This window comes from Homo sapiens, chromosome 5 (assembly GCF_000001405.40).
Source record: "Homo sapiens chromosome 5, GRCh38.p14 Primary Assembly".
Taxonomy (NCBI): Eukaryota; Metazoa; Chordata; class Mammalia; order Primates; family Hominidae; genus Homo; species Homo sapiens.
Genome location: NC_000005.10, coordinates 42,504,860 through 42,525,887, shown reverse-complemented (window position 1 = coordinate 42,525,887; position 21,028 = coordinate 42,504,860). Strand labels below are relative to the sequence as shown.

Sequence of the window (21,028 nt, the reverse complement as noted above, 5' to 3'; positions counted from 1 at the left end):
TGGCAGGAGGCAAAAGACTCTTCTTACATGGTGGCGGCAAGAGAAAAATGAGGAAGAAGCGAAAGCAGAAACCTCTGATAAACCCCTCAGATCTCAGGAGACTTATGCACTATCATGAGAACAGCACAGGAAAGACTGGCCCCCATGATTCAATTACCTCCCCCTGGGTCCCTCCCACAACCTGTGGGAATTCTGGGAGATACAATTCAAGGTGAGATTTGGGTGGGGACACAGCCAAACCATATCATTCTGGCCCTGGCCCCTCCAAATCTCATGTCTTCACATTTTAAAACCAATAATGCCTTCTCAGCAGTCCCCCAAAGTCTTAATTCATTTCAGCATTAACCCAAAAGTCCACAGTCCAAAGTCTTACCTTAGACAAGGCAAATCTTTTCTGCCTATAAGCCTGTAAAATCAGAAGCAAGCTAGTTACTTCCTAGATACAACAGGTATTGGGTAAATACAGCTGTTCCAAATGGAAGAAATTGGACAAAACAATAGGATTAGGATTACAGGGTCCATGCAAGTCTGAAATGCCGCAGGGCAGTCAAACTTTAAAGCTCAAAAATGATCTCCTTTGACTCCATGTCTCACATCCAGGTCACGCTGATGGAAGAGGTGGGTTCCCATGGTCTTGGGCGGCTCTACTCTGAGGCTTTGCAGAGTACAGTCTCCCTCCTGTCTGCTTTCATGGGCTGGCATTGAGTGACTGCGGCTTTTCCAGCAGCACAGTGCAAGCTGTTGGTGGATCTACCATTCTGGGGTCTGGAGGACAGTGGCCCTCTTCTCACAGCTTCACTAGGCAGTGCCCCAGCAGGGACTCTGTGTGGGGGCTCTGACCCCACATTTCCTTTCTGCACTGCCCTAGCACAGGTTCTCCATGAGGGCCCCAACTCTGCAGCAAACTTTTGCCTGGGCATCCAGGCATTTCCGTACATCTTCCGAAATCTAGGCGGAGGTTCCCAAACCTCAGTTCTTGACTTTTGTGCACCCACAGGCTCAATACCATATGGAAGCTGCCAAGGCTTGGGGCTTCCACCCTCTGAAGCCACAGCCTGAGCTCTGTGTTGGCCCTTTTCAGCCACAGCTGGAGCAGGTGGGACATAGAGCACCAAGTCCTTAGGCTGCATACAGCACAGGGACCCTGGGCCTGGCCCAGAAAAACAATTTTTCCTCCTGGGCCTCTGGGTCTGTGATGGGAGGTCTGCCATGAAGGTCTCCGACATGGCCTGGAGACATTTTCCCCATGGTCTAGGGGATTAACATTAGGCTCCTTGCTACTCATGCAAATTTCTGCAGCCGGCTTGAATTTCTCCTCAAAAAATGGGTTTTCCTTTTCTACTGCATTGTCATGCTGCAAATTTTCTGAACTTTTATGCTCTGTTTCCCTTTCACAATGAAATGCTTTTAATGGCACCCAAGCATTCACCTCTTGAATGCTTTGTTGTTTAGAAATTTCTTCTGCCAGTTACCCTAAATCATCTCTCACTTTCAAAGTTCCATGAATCTCTAGGGCAAAATGCTGCCAGTCTTTTTGCTAAAACATAACAAGAGTCATATTTTCTCCAGTTCCCAACAAGTTCCTCATCTCCATCTGAAACCACCTCAGCCTGGACTTTATTGTCCATATCGTTATCAGGCTGTTGGGTCAAAGTTATTCAATAAGTCCCTAGGAAGTTCCAAACTTTCCCACATTTTCCTGTCTTCTTCTGAGCCCTCCAAACTCTTCCAAACTCTGCCAGTTACCCAGTTCCAAAGTCACTTCCACATTTTTGGGTATCTTTTCAGCAATACCCCACTCTACTGGTACCAATTTACTGTATTAGTTTGTTTTCATGCTGCAGATAAAGACGTACCAGAAACTGGGAACAAAAATAGCTTTAATGGGACTTACAGTTCCACATGCCTTGGGAGGCCTCAGAATCATGGCTGGGGGCAAAAGGCCCTTTTTACATGGTGGTGGCAAGAGAAAAATGAGGAAGAAGCAAAAGTGGAAACCCCTGATAAACCCATCAGATCTAGTGAGACTTACTCACAATCATGAGAATAGCATGGGAAAGACTGGCTCCCATGATTCAATTACCACCCCCTGGGTGCCTCCCATAACACATGGAAATTCTGGGAAATACAATTCAAGTTGAGATTTGGTTGGGGACACAACCAAACCATATCAGACACGTAGAGGTCATTGTAGCATTATTAACGCTCCTAATTTCAATATTGTTGTGTTTCAGGGAATAGGGAAGCCAGAGGAGAGGGAGAGAGATAGGGGAAGAGCCATTCAGTGAAGCAGTCAGAACACACACAACATTTAGTGATTAAGTTCCCCACCTTATATGGGTGCAATTCATGGTGTGCCAAAACAACATAATAATAGCATCAAACGTCACTCATCACAGATCACCAAAACAGATATAATAATAATAAAAAAGTTTGAAACATTGCAAGGATTACCAATATGTAACACAGAGACTCAAAATGAGCACAAGTCATTGGAAAAATGGAGCCAGAAGACTTGCTCGTTACAGGGTTGCAACAAACCTTCAATTTGTAAAAACACAATTATCTACAAAACACAATAAAGCAAATCACAATAAAATGATGTATACCTGTATACGACTTACTGGTATTTATCTGCTGACTACTATCAGCAACATCCTTAGATATTGTTTCTAATTCCAGAGTTGAACCATCTAGAATGAATCCCATTGCAGTGAAACTCAGTTGAATTATTCCACTTAATTTGCTTTCTAAATGAAAACTACTGTTTTGAAACTCACCAGTGTGTGATTTGGTTGTAATCATATAAAAGAGTAAATTTATCTCTTTGCTCATTTTAGGAACTATTGCCACACGTCCTCATTGGGCTTCCTGTTTTTCATCTAAAAATCTCTTTCTCATTCCTCAACCCCCAAAGGGAAATAGATCTAAGACTTTGAAGCAAGACATCATTTTTGTCTCCTCTATTATCTTGCATAATGCCTAGAAAATTATAGGTCCTGATGCTTTTTTTCCATTCAGTACATGAGGCCTTTGTTGAACAGAAGCATAGACAACCACCTCACCACAAGGTAAGTAATCTCTAGATTTTCAGACTCTTTCTTAAAACCAGAAAAATAATCTTGGAATTCAGATTCTTTCTTAAAACCACAAAAACAATCTTGGAAGTAAGAAAAGTTGCTCAAACAGTAACCCCAAGGGAAACAAATCTTAGAAGCAGAGAACAGTGATGAGTAGATAGCAATCTCTTTTTTGGGATGAGTTGGGAGTTTGGTGTGGACTTTTTGATTTGTCATATTAAAATCAGAGGTATAAGATTTTCCTTTGTATTTAAACAAAAAGCTTATGATTTGAAGATAAACAGAATATATCAGTTTCACTGCTAAATATATGTTGATCACTGTAGCTGATATTGAGGAGAGAAAGTGGTAAATGACAGGAAGATGCACCTATTAAAACTGAATTAATCTGTATTTATATGGTCATTTTAACCTTCAAACAGAAAATGTCTTTAATGAAGAAATTTCAACAGACTGCTAAAAACAGAAAATGCCAAAGCCATTTCTTCTGGTACATACTAAAATGCATAAATTTCTTATATGATGAATGAGAAAAATTTTTTTGATATATGATTTTTTTCTTGTACAGAAATTCGGCAGGCAACATATACCACCCTTTATACGCAAAGTGGCTCAATCAACAAATGGCCTTTTTTAAAATTACAAATCTGGTAATCTGTGTCCCTTTAACAGAATAATGATAGGGATGGATGTTTTCCTATGTGCAATACAAAACGATGGAACAATGGGGTGTTTATTTTGGCTCAGGGACTTTGTAGAAAGGTCCTATCTGTTCTCCCTTCATAAAATCTTGCTTATAAATTAATTACACCCAAAAAGTTGAGCTGAGAAAAACCAACACTTTAGCTTTTCCTCTTGGCCAAAATTGTTAATTTGGGAAATGCAAATAAGCTTTGCCAAATTATTTAAAAACAGCAAAGAGAATATGTGAACATGCTAAAAACATTTCACCCTGAACTATTTCCAAAGATTGACTGCTCCATTTTTGATATAGTTAACAACTTAGATAAATACATTTTATATAACTAGAACTCTCAACCCAAGTAATATCCTCTCTTCTAAAATAAGAAGTCAATATTCTCTCTTTCTTCATAAATAAGTAATCCCAGCAAAGCAAAAAAATCAAAAGAAAATAAGCCAAAGTAATATGTGCCAAGTGTGGCTTCAGTGATCTGCTTTTTAAGTAGATGGGCTCTTTGGCAGATGAAAATCGTTAGCAGATGAAAATGTAAAGCTTTCTAAAATGTGACAGAAATGTTTCAGAGAAGATCTGCAGCATGAGTAGCTTTACAAATCCGAAACTAAATTCTAAATTATATCTGAAAGCCAGTGCAGCTGCCACCTGAAAGGCCTAGAATAAGAAATATGGAGTAAATCCTGAAAAAGATACTGGCTAAGCAATTATGGCTTCATAGTATATAGATCAAAGGAAGACTATATCTGAGATGCCATCCTGTAACCTGAAAAGTCTGGATATATGCATTCTTAGTGCCCATTGCTGTGTATGAGGGGAAAATTTTCACACAAAAGAAACAGAAGAATTTTTGGCGAATCCAAGGCAAAGGCACCCTCAAGAACAGCCTATGATTCTTGCAAGAGGTTTTCTTCAGGCAAGGAGCACAATAGGACTCTTGTCCTATTCCCTTGGCTTCTCGCCACTTGCCATATACGCATCCAGCTGATCATTCCATAAACATTTTTGAGTGCCTATTGCACACGTACACTTTCAAGAGCACTCAAGACCAGTGGTAAAGGTTTCCTACTTCATGGAACTGGCATCTAGTGAAAGAAAATTGACAATAAAAAGTTTAAAGAAAAACAGTGAAAAGGACACAATCAGGTGGAGATAAATGCTATAAAGGTAGTCCAATAGGTGATGTGATAGAGAGCAACGGAGACCAGAAGGGGTGACACATATGTAACTTCAGGTCAGAGAAATCCTTGCAGTTGAGCTGAGATCTGAATGACAAAAAGAAGCCTGCTATGTCAAAGTCTGAGGGTGAAGCATTCCGGGCAAGGGGACAGGGACTAGGAGGAGAGTTGAAGTGGCTGGAGCTCATTGAGCCAGTTGTCCTCACTTCAATCACCTTTGATTGTGTATGCTTATACTGCTGCTGTAACATGCTCTTGAAACTTGGGGCAAAAGAAGAAAACAGGGACAAAAAAAGTACCCATTCTTGTAAAAGCATCAAGAGGTCTTAGGGTCTTAAACACAATCATGACCCTAATAATCTTGATATCAAGTGCCTGAGTGTCATTCCAGTTTATTTTCCAGTCCTGAGAAATTTGGCCAGCTTCTCAAGGCTGAAAGCACAGAGAGAATGAATGGCAGACAGTGCAGGGTTAAGGAGTGAAGGATGTGGCTATAAAAGGCATTGCAACTAACTGCCTGTCCCCATGAGATCTCTGACCATAAAGCTATGCCATAAAGCTTTTCCTGATTGTTCAGGGGATTTACACAAGATCACAAGGTATCTTGTGGTACAATGATACCTCTCCTGCCTTCAACTCACCTGGCTCTTTATTATAGTTCCCCTTGTATAATAGGTACTTTAGGATTTGTCTTGGCACTGTTAACCTATGTGTGACTTCCTGCAGAAACTGTCTAATTGATCTCTTCTCAGTACCTAACACAGGGCCAGGCACATCATGGACGCTCAGTAAGTGATAAATTCCCTGGGATTGCCTTTAGCTATATTGGACTAATATTCCAACTATAGGCATAGTAATTGTACTCAAATAATATAATTATTTTGTTGTGTATCAGCAAAACTTCTGTGTTATCCATCAAAGCAAAGAAATATTCACAACATTCATACCAATACCTGGCATAAAGTAGAGACTCAGTGATACTCACTGAATACATGCATGCATGTCTTAGTGGACAAATCAATGAACAAATTGCAGCAAAAACAACTGTACTTATGGTCATTTAATTCATTCAACAATCAGTTTTTACTACATGTGTCATACCCTGCTGAGCACTACAGTGTCAATGGTGAGGTAGACAGACCTAGGCCCTGCTGTAAAGGAATTTTGAGTCTAGTAGGTCAGCAGATATGACTGAGGTCATCACACATGAAGGCTACCTAAAAGAAATGGTCAACTTTATTTAAAATGTAGATAAGGGGTCAATGCCAACATATAACCATGACATTTTTTTAGAAATCAGATCCACAGACAGAGCAAGTGGTTGAGAAAGGTAACAACTGATGGTAGCTAAAGTTGCCTCTTGGTAACTTGGGATGAGTTACTGAGAGAATTTGCAGAATCTTCTCTTTGGCCATCTATAAAACTACATCAGAGCTTTTTATGTGTGCCCTGATTGTGTGCAGTCATGTTTAAAGTTAGAAGGAAATACTGAGAGACTTAAATTTGTCTTCTGCCAGTATTCTTTACCATACCAAGATTCTTTTACTAGTTCTAAACACTTTAAATGTAGCAGCTATTTTTCTGAGGAATAATGGGAAAAATGAGAATTTATGAGCTGAAAAACAATGCATTGCCCTTATTCTCCCATAATTCAGGAAAAACAGCTAAGTGAAATTTTGGTCAAACTTTCCAAAAAGTTTTGGGCTGAAGACAAGCATGGAAAAATTCAAGCCCAAAGGAGATATTTCCAGAAATTTAGAAGCAAGTGAAAACAGAGGGTTATAGCAGTTCAGTATTTGCTGCCAGGAACAAAGTATATACGATATTATTTATTGCTGAAATCTTTTCAGAGAGACAGCATCTGGTTTCAGTGAGGTCTTGCTTTCATCCCATCCAGCAGCTGGACTAAACACTCCAGCACAGGGAGATCAACCAATTTGCCAAGGTGACACAGCGATTAGCGACTCTTTCCAGATTAGACCACAAGAGCCTCCTGGCTCTCGAATACCAAGAAAAAGTCACATGACTAACAGAGAGTTTAACACTTTTTTTTTCTATTTCAAGTGACTTCTTCAGCTTGCATGCTTACTTGTGTTTACATTTTTGGAGTCCCAAAGAGTGAGTCTTTCTCACTTTGCCACATTTCTCCAGTGGGAGGATCAGATATCAACATGGTTTCTTGTGAATGCCAAAATGCCCCGCCTTCTTCAAGGAGGATTTATTCATCTAGGCCGAGTGCGCTCATGGCAGAAATCAGAAATGGTCATGCAATATTCCACTCATACTGAGGCAGAGAGAGAGAGTGATCCAAATGCTCGCTAACTCTGAACAGAGAGGTTGGGCACTCTGCTTTGGTCATTCCAAAACTGCCTCTCTGAGGCAGGGGAAAAGCTGATGAAGATGAGGTTAACTCTGCCAGGAGAAAGCACTATAAACTTTTACTTCTTTTAGAGCTTTTTCTCTACCAGTACTATTTTTGCAGAGCCCTGGCTAGAGACAATTAGTTCCTTCATTCTTTTTGCATATGTCTTCCATACCAAAAGGAGAAAAGAAGGCTCTGTTTCCTAAGCATATGTTTTCCCTACACCTCAAGAAGACCATGTTGAGTTGCAAAGGGAACAAACAACCAACAACACACACACAAACTCTTTTAATAAGAAGTTATGAAATTAATGTAATTTCCACTAATCAATCTGTTTTCCTCTGTATGAGTAGCTGCCCACACACACACAGAATTATTAATACTATCATTAATCATTATTATGAATATATACTATATTATATAATAATATATATTAATTATTAGAATCATGAATTCAAAAGGCTAACTTAAGAAAAAAAGGGAAGAGGGTGAGAGAAGGAAGAGGATTACAACCATTCTTTTTCATGTCTAAACTTCAAGCTCATAGATAACAATCTAATATGAGAAGACCAGGGAACTGAGAGAACTGAGCCGCTTAGTTGTGTGAATGGACCTGGCATATTCTAAACTGGTCAAAAGAATATCAGGAAGGAAACAAGACCTCATTTGGTCCTTAGACCCCTCAATGGCAACAGACAGGGCACAGCATCAAGAGAAAACACGCAAGCTTTTGTAATACAAGACAACACCCAGAAGACATGTTGTTTTAATAATGCCAAAAAAAAAAAAGTCCACTATGAGTGACAGCAACCTAACTTCACTTTAAGTCTGAATGAATAATACCACTTAAGAAACTCATACAATTTCAATACAATAAGATTTAGAAATTTATTTTAAACTTACTGCAGATGTCAAAACACATGAATACCAAATACTTCACTTCTTGCTTCTTTCACATTACAATTTTCTTCTTTAATTGGAGCAGAAAAAAACAGGTCCTGACCATAAAAAAGTGATGACATTTCAAGCATGTGGACTGATGTTTTAGTTACACATGCATGCTATTCCCTTTTGACTTATATTTTTTCCAAGGATCAGCCATGCTAATTTTCATACTGTACTCATTCCTTCAGTATTTACCGAGTGCCTACCATGGGATAGGTACTGATTTAGGCCCAGAGGTTATAGTCATAAACAACACAGACACATCCCTGCCTTCCTGGAGCTTTCAATTCAGCACTCTTGTTTCGTTTCAAAGTTCAGTTACTGTTTTGATAAAGCTCAGTTCAGGTTTTAAAAAGGAAACCTCCATCCAAGGAAAATTCTGAAGTTATTGTTGTCTTTCCAAAATTTATTTTCTCAACCCTCCAATTAGTCCATTGGTATAAAACTCACAGTAAATGTCATTCTTAGAGGAAAGAACTTCAACATGATAGTTATTTTTTGCTTTGAGAAGAGGAGTTTTAAAATAATAAATGCTTAATGATTTAACCAGTAGCTTCAGCTGTTACATGCCAAACTAAGTGTTATAACAAACACCAGGGCAGGCAGACTGAAAAAGATGCCTCCAAATTTTAAATTTAAGTTTTTTCTCCCCCTAAAAATCTACACTGACATCCTTAGTGAACACCGGTAAATAATTACACACTCTGGCACTCAAGTGCAAACAATCAGGTTTCAAAGTTTACCCCAACCAGCTGTCCATAAAAAATCTTTTGACAGTGCCAGTAGAGATCAACCTGACCACAGAGGACATGAGGCAACTGGCCAGGACATAAGTCACATAGGTCTACACTTCTGTTTCAGTATAATTTCCAACCGTCTTGCTGATGGGCTCCAAGGCTCTCCAAAGCCACATGAAGATGTCTATATATCTCTTCTCAGGAAAAACTGAAAATTAACTTTCTATTTGAGATTCTTCCACTTTCCTTCTTGAACTTTCTCTTCATCTCCCACTTCCTTGTCCTCTTTCCTCTATTGTCTCTTCCCTACTTTCTCTCCAGGGTCAGATACTGCTTTCAGCTCTTTTCCTGTATTATCTTACCGGAGCCACACACAACCCTAAGAAGCAGCTCAGCAATCATGTCATGTTGCAAAAGGGAACCCTGAAGCCCAGGATCACATAGCTGGGAAGTAGCCAAGCCAGGATTTCAACCAGCTCACCTGACTCCGGGGTCCACAATCACTGTGCCATATTGCCTCTAATGTGACTTTTGGCTTAAGTATTTATGATAAAGATGAACTGGTGGTTTAAGTAGGCAAGTAGCAATGACACCTAAGAAATTAATCTTAATTTCTGCTATGCTTGAGAAAAATCTAACAAATTCTTACTTCAATTAACTGCTTTAAAGGTGGAAATCAAGGTGGCTAATTAATGGGCAATTTATTAAGGGTTTTTCTACACCAGCTTTGAGACTTTTGTCTCTTCCATGTGGAAGTACACTGAGAAAAGTCAGGAGCAAATGCCAATTAGAGATTATAAAGACTACAAAGAACTAAGAAAAAGAAAACAACAAAAATCTAACTTATTATGTTACTACATTCTCTGTGCCCCCTCTAAAAACTAACCAAATGAAGTCTTTGTTTCTATTAACATCTATTATTGTTATTCGTTTCACAAATTAGGAATAGTTTTCAGTGGGCTTATTCTTAGATTTAAACCAAACAACTTGATGGAGCAAATGTTAAAATACTAGCTCCTACAAGATCAACATACCTAAGGAACTAATTTCATAGGCTGCGATAAAACTGAAGAAATGGAAAGGTTGCTACTGCCCTCCTTCCACCAAGGCCTTTACACCTCTATTTTATTCTTCCTGGTTATGAAGGTTGGACCACCCACTAAATTTTCTCCAGCTAAATAAACAGCTACAGCTGAGAACAGTGCAAAGTCCTTGGCTTTCTGCTTTTATATCCACCCAGTGTTAATTCAAGAATGATTTTCAGCGGGTTATAGACTAAATCCAACAGAATAAAATTGGGATCTTAATTAAGAATTACCACTAAATGCATGAAATCATTAGGTTAGCCCTCAGCCTGCCTGTGTCGACCATTACTCTTCTTTCCTCTAGAACAACACCTTGGTGCCTAGAAGCCAAGACTATGTGGATGACATAGAACATAATGGCATTAATCCCATCTGTGGAAAAAGAAAATGCAGGAGCTTATAAAGCAGATTCCATTGGTAAATTGACTGTGTTTAACGACAGGAAGAGAGTATATTGGGAGATGAAAAAGGAAAAACATGTTAACAACAATTGTAAATAGTAGCTGTCTTCATGAAAGAGACACTAGCCTAAGCCAAAATAAACTACAAGGAAAAGAAAATCCTGCTGTTACCAACCAGTAAGGCAAAGCTGCTTTCTGGATTTGCAATCACTTTTCTTTAGTCATTCTTTGGTTTTCTGGAAGGGACCAGGTTTCTATGGAACTCTGATGAGCTCTGGGGAACAGCAGCAGCTAAGGTATATTTAGCAAACATACACTAAGAGTCTACTATGCTCAAGACACTGCATTTTGGTTAAGCCTGCATCATGCTTTATAGTCTTGTAGCTTAAGTACCCTTTGCAAATTCAGTCTGTGCTCCTGATAAAAGGTGACTGCCCTCTCCTGGCCACCTTTCATGAGACTGTTTACTTTCAGATCTTATTAATAGTTGTCACCATCACCTGTCGCCCATCACTCTTCCTCATCTGAGATGCCAAAAACTGCCAGGGAAATGCAGTGTGTGATCAGTTCTTAAAGGTACAATTATGTGTGAGACTAAACACAGGAAAACGTGCATACATAGTTCTCTTAGCAATGAAATGGGGGACCTTCCACTGACCTTCACACAATCTTTTCTTTCTATCCTCCTCTCACCCTGCAATGACTACAGACCCCCACTAATGTCCCCACTGTGGCAGAATTCCAAGCACAGGCCTGGGCATTACCTTATCAGAGCTCCCCATCTAGTCACTGTCTTTGCCTCCGATCTTTCTTAGGCCCTGCCCCAATTGTCCACATCTATTTCTCAACCCCAGCATCTGGTTCTGCTGAATTACCCATTTATATTGGTTATAGGGTATCCCAATATCTCTGAATAGCTTCTTTTTTTTTTTAAATCTAGAACCATTTATGCATATGGTCATAGATAGCTGGGAGTTTGAATAGCCCCAGATATAAGTAACTTTTCAAAGGTCATAAATTATAATAGGACAGAAGAGAGACCTGGTTATCAGAGGAGCAAGGCTGGAGATCTCAACAAGGGGTGAAGTGTGAATTTATCTTCCCAATATGGACTCCCTGGGTCTGCCAATCCAAAGAGGTGACCTTGGTCATGGAAGATTTGCAGAACAAATCTTGCCTGTGGACTTGCACCCAGAAGGCACTTGTAGGTAGTCAATGCAGAATCCAAAAATTACTTGTAAGATGCGCCCAGTGAATTCAGCAAATGTTTTATTTTAGCCATTTGTCTTCAAGGTCAGTTCTGGTTAAAGAAGTTGCTCATTTTAACTAGAAGAAAAAATAAATTCTGGGTGAAGCAAGCTTTGTTTTATTTTTCTTTTCCAGTAAGTAATAAAATCATTTTTTCAAAGACCTTCAGGATAGAAAAGATTTTTTATATTTAACCCATTAATGTTTGCAGTCATTTTTATATTTAACCCATTAATGTTTGCAGTCAACTAATCCCTAGAAATAAGAACAAAGAAGGGAAGACAGGAAGGTAACACACATGAGCTAACATCACAGATAATCCTCAGACCTCTTTATTTGAGTTTTAACCTCACCCTGCTGAAGCTTTTTTTTTTTGAGACGGAGTTTTGCTTTTGTTGCCCAGACTGGAGTGCAATGGCGCGATCTTGGCTCACCACAACCTCCGCCTCCCGAGTTCAAGCGATTCTCCTGCCTCAGCATCCCGAGTAGCTGGGATTACAGGCATGCACCACCACGCCTGGCTAATTTTGTATTTTCAGTAGCGACAAGGTTTCTCCATGTTGGTCAGGCTGGGCTGGAACTCCTCAGGTGATCGGCCCACCTCGGCCTCCCAAAGTGCTGGGATTACAGACGTACAGTACCGCGCCTGGCCCCTGCTAAGCCTTTTATCAGAGCTGCTAAGAAATAACCAATGTGACATATTTAAGCTTCATCTCATCTATTTCCTCTCCATGGCCCTGAGTGGGGCTGCTAATGAGCTGTGAAGTGACAAAGATAACCGGCCTCTATATGGGAGAGAGAAGACTAGAGCTGGATAATCCACAATGTCATTTGGGTTCTCAGCAAAAGCTGCGTATTTCCTATTATAGCCCTAGGAGATGATTTAAGAAGGTGAGAGGGCACTTTTCTCCCAAATAACTGCTCCTACACAATTGAAATTTCACCAAAGAGGTAGATTTCTTTGTGTCAAAGCATCACATCTCCAGTAGTCTTTGATTATCTAAATTTTGCTCAATCAACTGAGATTCAGAAATGTGAAGTAGCTTGCTATTGCTAATGATACACAACCTGTCAATGGCAGAGCTGGGACTCAGATCAGAGGGGATAGTGTTTTAATCATAAACTTCTAAGAATCTCTCTAATTCAACCTTATTTCTCTGACCCCTTTAAAAAAATATCCCCCAGAGCCATAAGTTCAGGACATCAAAGTAATAACCTCAGGGTATACAAAAATGTTGCTGGATTAAGGGGTGATGCCACCAAAAGTTGCACCATGAATCAGATCTGGTAGAAGGGAAATGAGACCAGAAAAAGAGAATGGATCAAAGCTTTCAATTCTAGTTAAAAAAAAAAAAAAAGTTACTGAATGGTTACTTGTGCCATCATGGTAACCAATGAACAACCTGTAAAGTTAGTTTTCAATAGGCAGCCTGATAGTCAAGTGTAGGGCCCTAAAGGATTTGAAGACAGTGTAAGCATTGCTGAAAAGAAAATGCAGAAATGAATATTGATAGTTTGTTCAGACACATAAACAAGTAGGTTGTCTATGTATATATATATATGTCAGGCACTTATCTGAGTACTGGGGACAGGGGCATGCTCTCTGGTCACACAGCCTTATAGTTGACAGTTTGGAAAAGCCAGGGAGGGATCAGGTGAGAAAGGTAAGGAGTGAGAAGACGAATCTGGTTGTATCACCAAAAACCTTTGATAGCTGTATAGTTGGATCGATTCCAAAATCTTCATGGCATATACACCTACTGCTCTCTCCTCTGCCTACCCTGTGCCCCACCCCCAGCCCCATACCTAATGAATCACCATTCCCTGAACACCTCAGAAATCTGTACTTCTTTGTGTCTTTGAATATGTGGATTCCTGGATCCCCCCACCATTCTCTGCCTTGAGAACCCCTGAGTCCATTTTCTCACATTGTTTTCATCAGCACCCTTGTGAAGCCTTGTCCAGCACCAGAGGGAGTTCATTACCATCTTCCTGCTCCTTTATAACATCAGCACAAACCAGCACTGTGGCCATCACTGTGGAGTATTGGAATGTCCTATTTTTTGACCATACACAGGGATTGGTAGGGGGTAAAGAGGCAATTAATTCAAATTTCCATCAAATATTAATTTTTCAGCAACCCACCGGCAGCTCAAGCGTAGGGTCTATCTGCAGTCTGTGGACTTAATTTTTAATTGTTAGCATAAGAGCTTGGATTCCTAGAATGGGAGCAGGGAGTGGTTATGATGATAGAGGGGTGCAAAAAGATGAATTCAACCCATATCACAGTATTTTTCCAGGCCAGAAATATTAAGACTTTATTGCTGAAATATTAAGACTTTAAATGTCTGAATACCCCGAAGGGTAGTGTGAACAGCATGAAACTCTGATGCATCCTAAGGAAGACATAAAACCAGGTTTGATAAAAGTCATTCTCCTCTTTCACACAAACACACACACACACACCTGCAAACACATAAACAAAATCAGTAAGTAAAGGAAGACAAATTATTATCTAATAAAAAACAGCCAGATAACAGCTAACAAAAACAAAAAACAAACAAACAAACAAAAAACAAAAAACAGAGGACTGTTTGTAGATGGAGCTTGAGCTTCATTCATTCATTCATTCAACATTTAGTAAATGCCTTGTATGTGCTGAACCTTATTCCAGACACTAAAGATATAATAGAGAAAAACAAAGGAGGAAAACAAGTTTAAAAACCCACAAGTCTTGCCCTCACGGATCTTAATACTTATGGATGTGGTTCAGCCAATACATGAGTATTATAATATATCAGATGATGATAAATACTATGGAGAAAATTAAACTATGATGTAAAGTAGAGAACGTTGTTGGGGTGGTGTTGTTCTTTTAAATCAGCTGGTTAGAGAGGTTCAAACTATGAAAAATATTTTTAAATAAAGAACTGAAATAGAAGAAGAAATCCGTGAGGACTTCTGGAGGGAAAGCATTCCAGGCAGGGAAAGACCAGTAGCAAAAGTCACAAGGTGGGTGCTCACCTGACACATGGGAAATAACAAAGATGACCCAAGGAGTGCAGTCTGTTCTATTACAGCATGTGTTTCTGTAACAGCAAGCAGCTCATATGCTACTGGTAAATAGTGGGATAATATTGGTATTACATGGAAACAAGATTTTTCTTAGGCAAGAGGAGTAAGAATAGCAAGAACAGAATTATAACCTTAGCAGGAAAGGAAAAATCCCTGAAGTTGGCTGCTGCACAGACTGCAGTGATTTCAGCTCTCTTAAGGGAATTAAAGATGAGCGCCTGCACCCAGAGGTGTCTCCCAAGAAATACGCCCTCTCCCACCAGGCAAAGCTATCTGCTCAAGGCAGGCTGAACTTCTTCCTATGACCACTTTTGTGGTAGGCCCTCTGGCTCAGAGCTCCATTCATCTGTCTCATCTCAGCTCCCCAGCCGGCATCTCCATGCTACTGTTTTTGTGCATTTTTAATATTCCTTGAGTCGCCTTCAGTCAATCTGAGCTGCCTGCCTTCCTGTTATCTCCCAAGGTATCTATTATTGCTTTGGTTATTGCTACAGTTTTTTATGTTGTATAAGATATGAGTGTTCTATTCCAATCGTAATTTTACCATAAGACCTGTTATTTTTCAAAGTACATCTTGCAGACCAAAAAGTTTTACAGAACACATAAATAGCGTTATAGCAGAAACATCTGCCCAAATGAAGTCAAGGATTTCAGGGAACCAGATCACAAAGGGCTTTATAGGCCATCATGAAATGGGAAGGCATTAGAAGGCTTTGAGTAGATGCATGAGATGATATACTGTGCTGAAAGCAAAATAGGGGTGAAGGGAGAAAAATGAGCAAATATAAAAGCATATAGAACAGGTAAAGGTCTTTGCAATAATCCAAGTGAATGAGGATGGTGGCTTGGACCAGAACAGTAGCAGTGGAAAATGTGATAAATGGTTACTATTTGCCAAAGAATTGGCTTTGGGAAATGAGAGAAAGAAAGGAGTCAAGGGGGACTCCAACATTTTTTAACCCAAGCAACCAAAGGATGGAATGTCACCAACTGCAATGGGGATAACTGACGGATGAGGCAGTTAGGGGGGTGATCGATTCAGTACAGATAAGATTGAGGGCCTTTAAGGCATGCAAGTGGAAATGCCAGCTAGGTAGTTGAATAGAAATGTCTAGAATTCAGAGGAGATAAATTCTCAAGTTTTTATTGTACAGACATTGTTTAAAGCCACAAGAGCAAATGTATTCAAATGCCCATCAGATACTGATTTTCCAAAAACCCACTAGCAGCTAGAGCACAGGCAAATACTTACAAAGCTTGTGGCTTAATTTGTAACTGTTAGCGTTAAAGCCTGGATTCCTAAAATAGGAGCAGGGAGTGCTAATAGAGGTAGACGTGTAAAAAAAAAAAAAAAAGGTTTGAGGCCTGCACTTCCTAAGTCATTCTAATAGAAGTTGGGGTGACAACTTCTGGTGGAGGGAGAAAATAAATAATGCAAGAAAGGAGAAAGAAAGAAAATTGCTGAGCTAATGTCCTTGAATATGCAAGAGGGAAATAAAGTGCCAAGTGGAGAGGTTCATCTTTGATAGAAGCTCTCTGTTAACAGAAGGAAGGCAAACCATATGGTCACTGAGACTGGGAGGAGTAGATGTGGTGGTGGAAGCTTGTAGATTCACTTTTGATTACTTCTGGGCTTTTTGCAGTGAAATAGGAAAAAAGGTTATCTGCGCAGAGTTAGGGTATGAGAAGTAATTGTTGGAGGCTTGAGGATAGAGGAGTTGTCACATAGTTGTCCAGGAGACTAGGAAAGTGAGTGGATTCAAGAAATATGGAGAGTTGCCAATCATTACTAATAAATGGCTCAGTGAGGTTAGGGCCCATGCATTTAAAGTGAAACAAGTCACCACAGTGTGCATTTTCCACAGTAACATTGAACTCTCAGGTGTAGGCAGGGTATAGATGGAAAGCAGGATTAAATCTGGGTTGGAATTTTGCCAGGCAATAGTATGATGAAGCAAGAGAAGTACAAAATAATACTGAAAATGAACCATGGAGTAAAGTGTATAAGGTGTGAGGTGAGGATGTTTATTTGTTGTCAGCTGCTAAAGGAAAGGTAACCAGTACAGGCTTTAATTATTTACCAAGTAGCAAATAACCACCCATAGATACAAATTTCATCACATAGTGTGATAACTTTTTTCTTTTCCTTTAAAAATATTCATTTTCTTTTAAATTGGTGAAACAACAGTGACATCAAACACAAACTTCTGGTTGGGCGCGGTGGCTCACGCCTGTAATCCCAGCACTTTGGGAGGCCGAGCCGGGTGGATCACAAGGTCAGGAGATCAAGACCATCCTGGCCAACACAGTGAAACCCCGTCTCTACTAAAAAATACAAAAAATTAGCCGGGCGTGGTGGCGGGCGCTTGTAGTCCTAGCTACTTGGCAGGCTGAGGCAGGAGAATGGCGTGAACTCGGGAGGCGCAGCTTGCAGTGAGCCGAGATCGTGCCACTGCACTCCAGCCTGGGCGACAGAGCAAGACTCCGTCTAAAACAAACAAACAAACAAACAAACTTCCTGCTGGGAGATAGGTGCAATGTGTAATATCCATTTATGCTGACAGTAATCATCTCTCAGGTCTCACTATTTATAATAAACAGCATACCAATCCTGCTTTCATATGAAGCCTCCAGAAGATTGCAGAGGCTGGCAAGAGTGTGGGTCAGAACATTATCATATAGCTTCAAAAATATCACAAGTCATTTTTATGCACCTGCCTCCTCCATGCTTCCTTACTACTATGATTCCATGCCTACTTACTGTCCTTTCTGGACAGATTCTCAATGAATTTTCTCTTTATTTTATTTTCCTTGGGAAAGGCCCCCTTTGGTGAGCTATCAGACCAGTTCTCTCAGCTCCTTAACCACATATGTACCTCAGCAATGAAGCTGGGACAGGCTGAACTGACCAGCAATTCTCCTGGCTGCTGTCAGATGCTTACAAGAGTATTTGGAAGAAAGTATCAGAAAATGGATGCAAATCCAAGATCAAATGAGGTCAAGGTCCTGGATTCCTTGAATATGCCATTCTTTTTTGGCAGTGTATGAGGTCTAAAATAGCATTTCCCATCTGGACTAGTTACTCTCTGTTTGGCCCTCCTCCTATAGCATATCCATTCCAGGTCTTCCTCTGCTCTGCACTCAGGAGGCTGACTGCTGCGGGCTGACTCTCCAGGCTCAATGCTGGATAACTTCCTACTGGGTTTGAACAATGGAGATTAGAAGGTTGACAGAGAGGTCAGGGATGTCTTCCCCACATTCCTATGCTCTGGCCTAGCCTATGTCTCTCCAGAACTTTAGCTTCTGTCACAAGACCCCTCCTCCATGGCTCCGGCCCTCTCAGGACTAGAGTAACACGGTTTCCTTCTTCTGCAGCTCCAGGTCCAGAAGAGATAATAGCTTCTCATGGCAGCTAGGGTCCGAGTGACTCAGCATTCCTTGCTAGCTACTTTAATCCTACCCATACTTCTGTACATTTCCCCTTGAAGTCTCTTGAAACTTCTGAGTTAGATTGTGTGTCTTTCCAGGACCTGACTGATGTACACCATTTTGAATTCCACCATGTGTAATTTTACAATCGCACTTGAGTACTGAAGCTGCTAGTCCAGTGAACACCAGAGGAAGGAAATCAAATCCCAAGCATGTGTAATGTGATCATTCATTCATTCATTTAGTCTGGGTGAATATACTAACATTCATGTCTTGTTAAAAGTAGAGATAGGATTTCTTAATTTTAAAAACTTCAGAAAGGCCCATCAGGGCTCCAGCTCTGCAAATAGTTTTTTCAATAAAAGTTTCACTTCTTGAATCAAGGGATACTTACAACGACTAATGGTAACCTTCACTGAAATATTTTTCTATTAACTATGACCCTGAAACTGTAATCATTCTGACAACAAAGCTGATTTTATATCATAAACAATTATTCAACTAGTCATTAGATTATTTGGGAAGTTCTCCCAGCCTAATAAAAGCCTCTAAGATTCTGTGTCAGAGAAAGAAACATACAGGAAATGGGAAGAACTTTAATGTATTTTCATAAGTTTCCAACAGTAACAACTGACCCATTTGATAGCTAATTTGTGCTAAATGTCAATGGATTAGTAATATAATCTTATAATTTACCCAAGATTAGCAGTTTGGCTATAAAGAGTGAGGTCAAAGAATACTGCTGTTAATTTTCAATGAATTTGCTTAATAATCAACTGTTTATGACCACATCCTTGTTTTCTTGTAATGACCCAGACTTTCAGGATTTTGAAAGTCTGAGAAAAATCTGCTGTTAAATGTACTATGGTCAAGGTAAGATTTCTACAGGGAATATATAATTCTAATAGGCTCTTATCTAAAAGGATACGCTTGACCAGTGTCACTAGTGATGTCGACATCAAATAAACATCAACATTAAACTGAGGCTACTATATATTTTCATGTACTGGGTACATAGCCTATAAAGTCAGGCTAGAGGGACTAAAATATATTCCTGTTAAAAGTTAACAAATAGTGAATCTATCATTGATTCTAGAGACAGATCAAATATATTTTGCTATAAAAAATGGAAAGAACTAATGAATATATGTTAGAAACTTTTTAAATTTTTTGCTCCCAAGAAGTACGGTAGGGTGAGCATTGTTAAATAAAACAAACCTAAGTTCAAGTCCTGAATTTGCTTTTGTTAGTTCATTAATCTTGGTCATGTAAATTATCCTCTCTATGCTTCAACTTTACCATCAGAAATATAGAAAAAATATTTATTTCCCTTGGAAGACATCCTCATTAAATCATAAGAGGGTCCATCTCACTTAGAAAGGGCTTTTGGGAAAAAAATTCCACATTAAATATATTTATTAACTACATAATACTACATAATACATTCTGATTTCAGAAATATTAAACTGGATAAAATATGGCCTAGGATCTAGGAAACAAGACAAGGTTATCTGTCTCACTGAGTATGCAGCATGGAGTAAATAACATAATGTCAAGAACACACCACGGCTCGTGGCTCCAGAGCAAGTCCTAAATAAATATTGATGTTTTATTGCTATTGTAAATATCACTAACAAGAAGGGGAAGCAAACATCAAATACTTATTCAATACATTTTGGTTCAAAATACCATGGAATTTGGGAGATAAATTGTAGAACCTCTGTTCCTTTCACTTTATAGGTAATATGCATGAATGGTATGATAAAGTTAAGTGACTTACCAAAACTAAATAATTGTAGAATCAAGATTATAACCCAGACCTTCTAATTATATGTCCAATAAATAATAATAATATAATAAGTGCTTACTATGAGCACGCATTATACTGGTTGCTTTGTATATAAATATTATCAAGTCATCACAGCAATCCAATGTGACAATGTAATAGGTACTATTATCCCATTTTACATAACAGGAAGCTGAGGCCCACACAGGATAAGCGAAATCTCACAAAAGCAATCTCTTGCTTCTGACTCAAACCCAAGTCTACCTACCTCAGTGGACTCTTTCCACTGAGCTAATGTCTCCTTCCTGGATTTGTACTTGTTCCTTCTTGGATTGCTTTACTGATTGAAGTCTTATCTTTCTAACAAATGTATTAATTTCACAAGCACAGATATAATGTTACCTATTTTTTTTTTTGAACATGCATGGCACAGGGCTGGGCATTGTGTACGTGCTCAAAAAATGTTTGCTGAGTGTATGATAACTTTTTTAAAAAAAATTACTTGTAAAAGCAAAAAAAAAATAAACACTTAAGCAGCAAAATGCGCAAAAAATTGCTCAAGTAATGACTTGGACTGGGCTCAAACAGAAATTCTCCTCAGTTTAAGAAATAGAATTCAACCATATTCTCTGCTGATCCTAAGCCAGTACTGCTTTCTCTAACAGTCAACAGTTCAAAGTATAATAGATTTAAAATAAAAGTAAATTATAAGGCAAAAAAAGAAAGAAAGAAAAAAAAAAAAAAACAGTCAACAGCTCCCAACATGCATGTTTAACAACTCCGAAGACAGGGCAAGCCTAAGAGGCACGTAGTTAAAATCTGACCTGTCCTTGAAAACAGGGGAGCCACTTTCCACTGGTACATGTGACTTTGTTTAAGGTTAAGCATTCAAAAATCTGGAGCAATTCTTAGCCCTGGGCTAATAGGGCTAGCTGATGCCTCTCTTCTTTTCACATTTAAAGAGAAAGAAGCCCCTCTTGAGATAATGAAGAGATCCAGAATATAAGG

At 39.3% G+C, this 21,028-nt stretch overlaps 1 protein-coding gene across 5 annotated transcripts in view, besides 1 other annotated feature; it reads right to left on the bottom strand.

The window, feature by feature from the left end:
* The window catches only part of GHR (growth hormone receptor), a 298,440-nt gene that overhangs the window by 195,991 nt on the left and 81,421 nt on the right, over nt 1-21,028 (bottom strand). Inside the window, exon 2 of one of the 5 annotated variants that reach the window (NM_001242400.2) lies at nt 11,524-11,808. The exons of the other annotated variants lie outside the window; for them this stretch is intronic. The gene's annotated coding sequence lies outside the window, so the exon portion shown is untranslated. The remainder of the gene's footprint in view (nt 1-11,523; nt 11,809-21,028) is intronic. 5 annotated transcript variants of the gene reach the window in all.
* Nucleotides 16,673-17,173: an enhancer, noted in NCBI's record as "H3K4me1 hESC enhancer chr5:42508817-42509317 (GRCh37/hg19 assembly coordinates)". NCBI's record gives its function as "activates a minimal SCP1, AML or CMV promoter by ChIP-STARR-seq in naive H9 embryonic stem cells {active_cell/tissue: H9 hESC(naive)}" and the evidence as "EXISTENCE:reporter gene assay evidence [ECO:0000049][PMID:30033119]".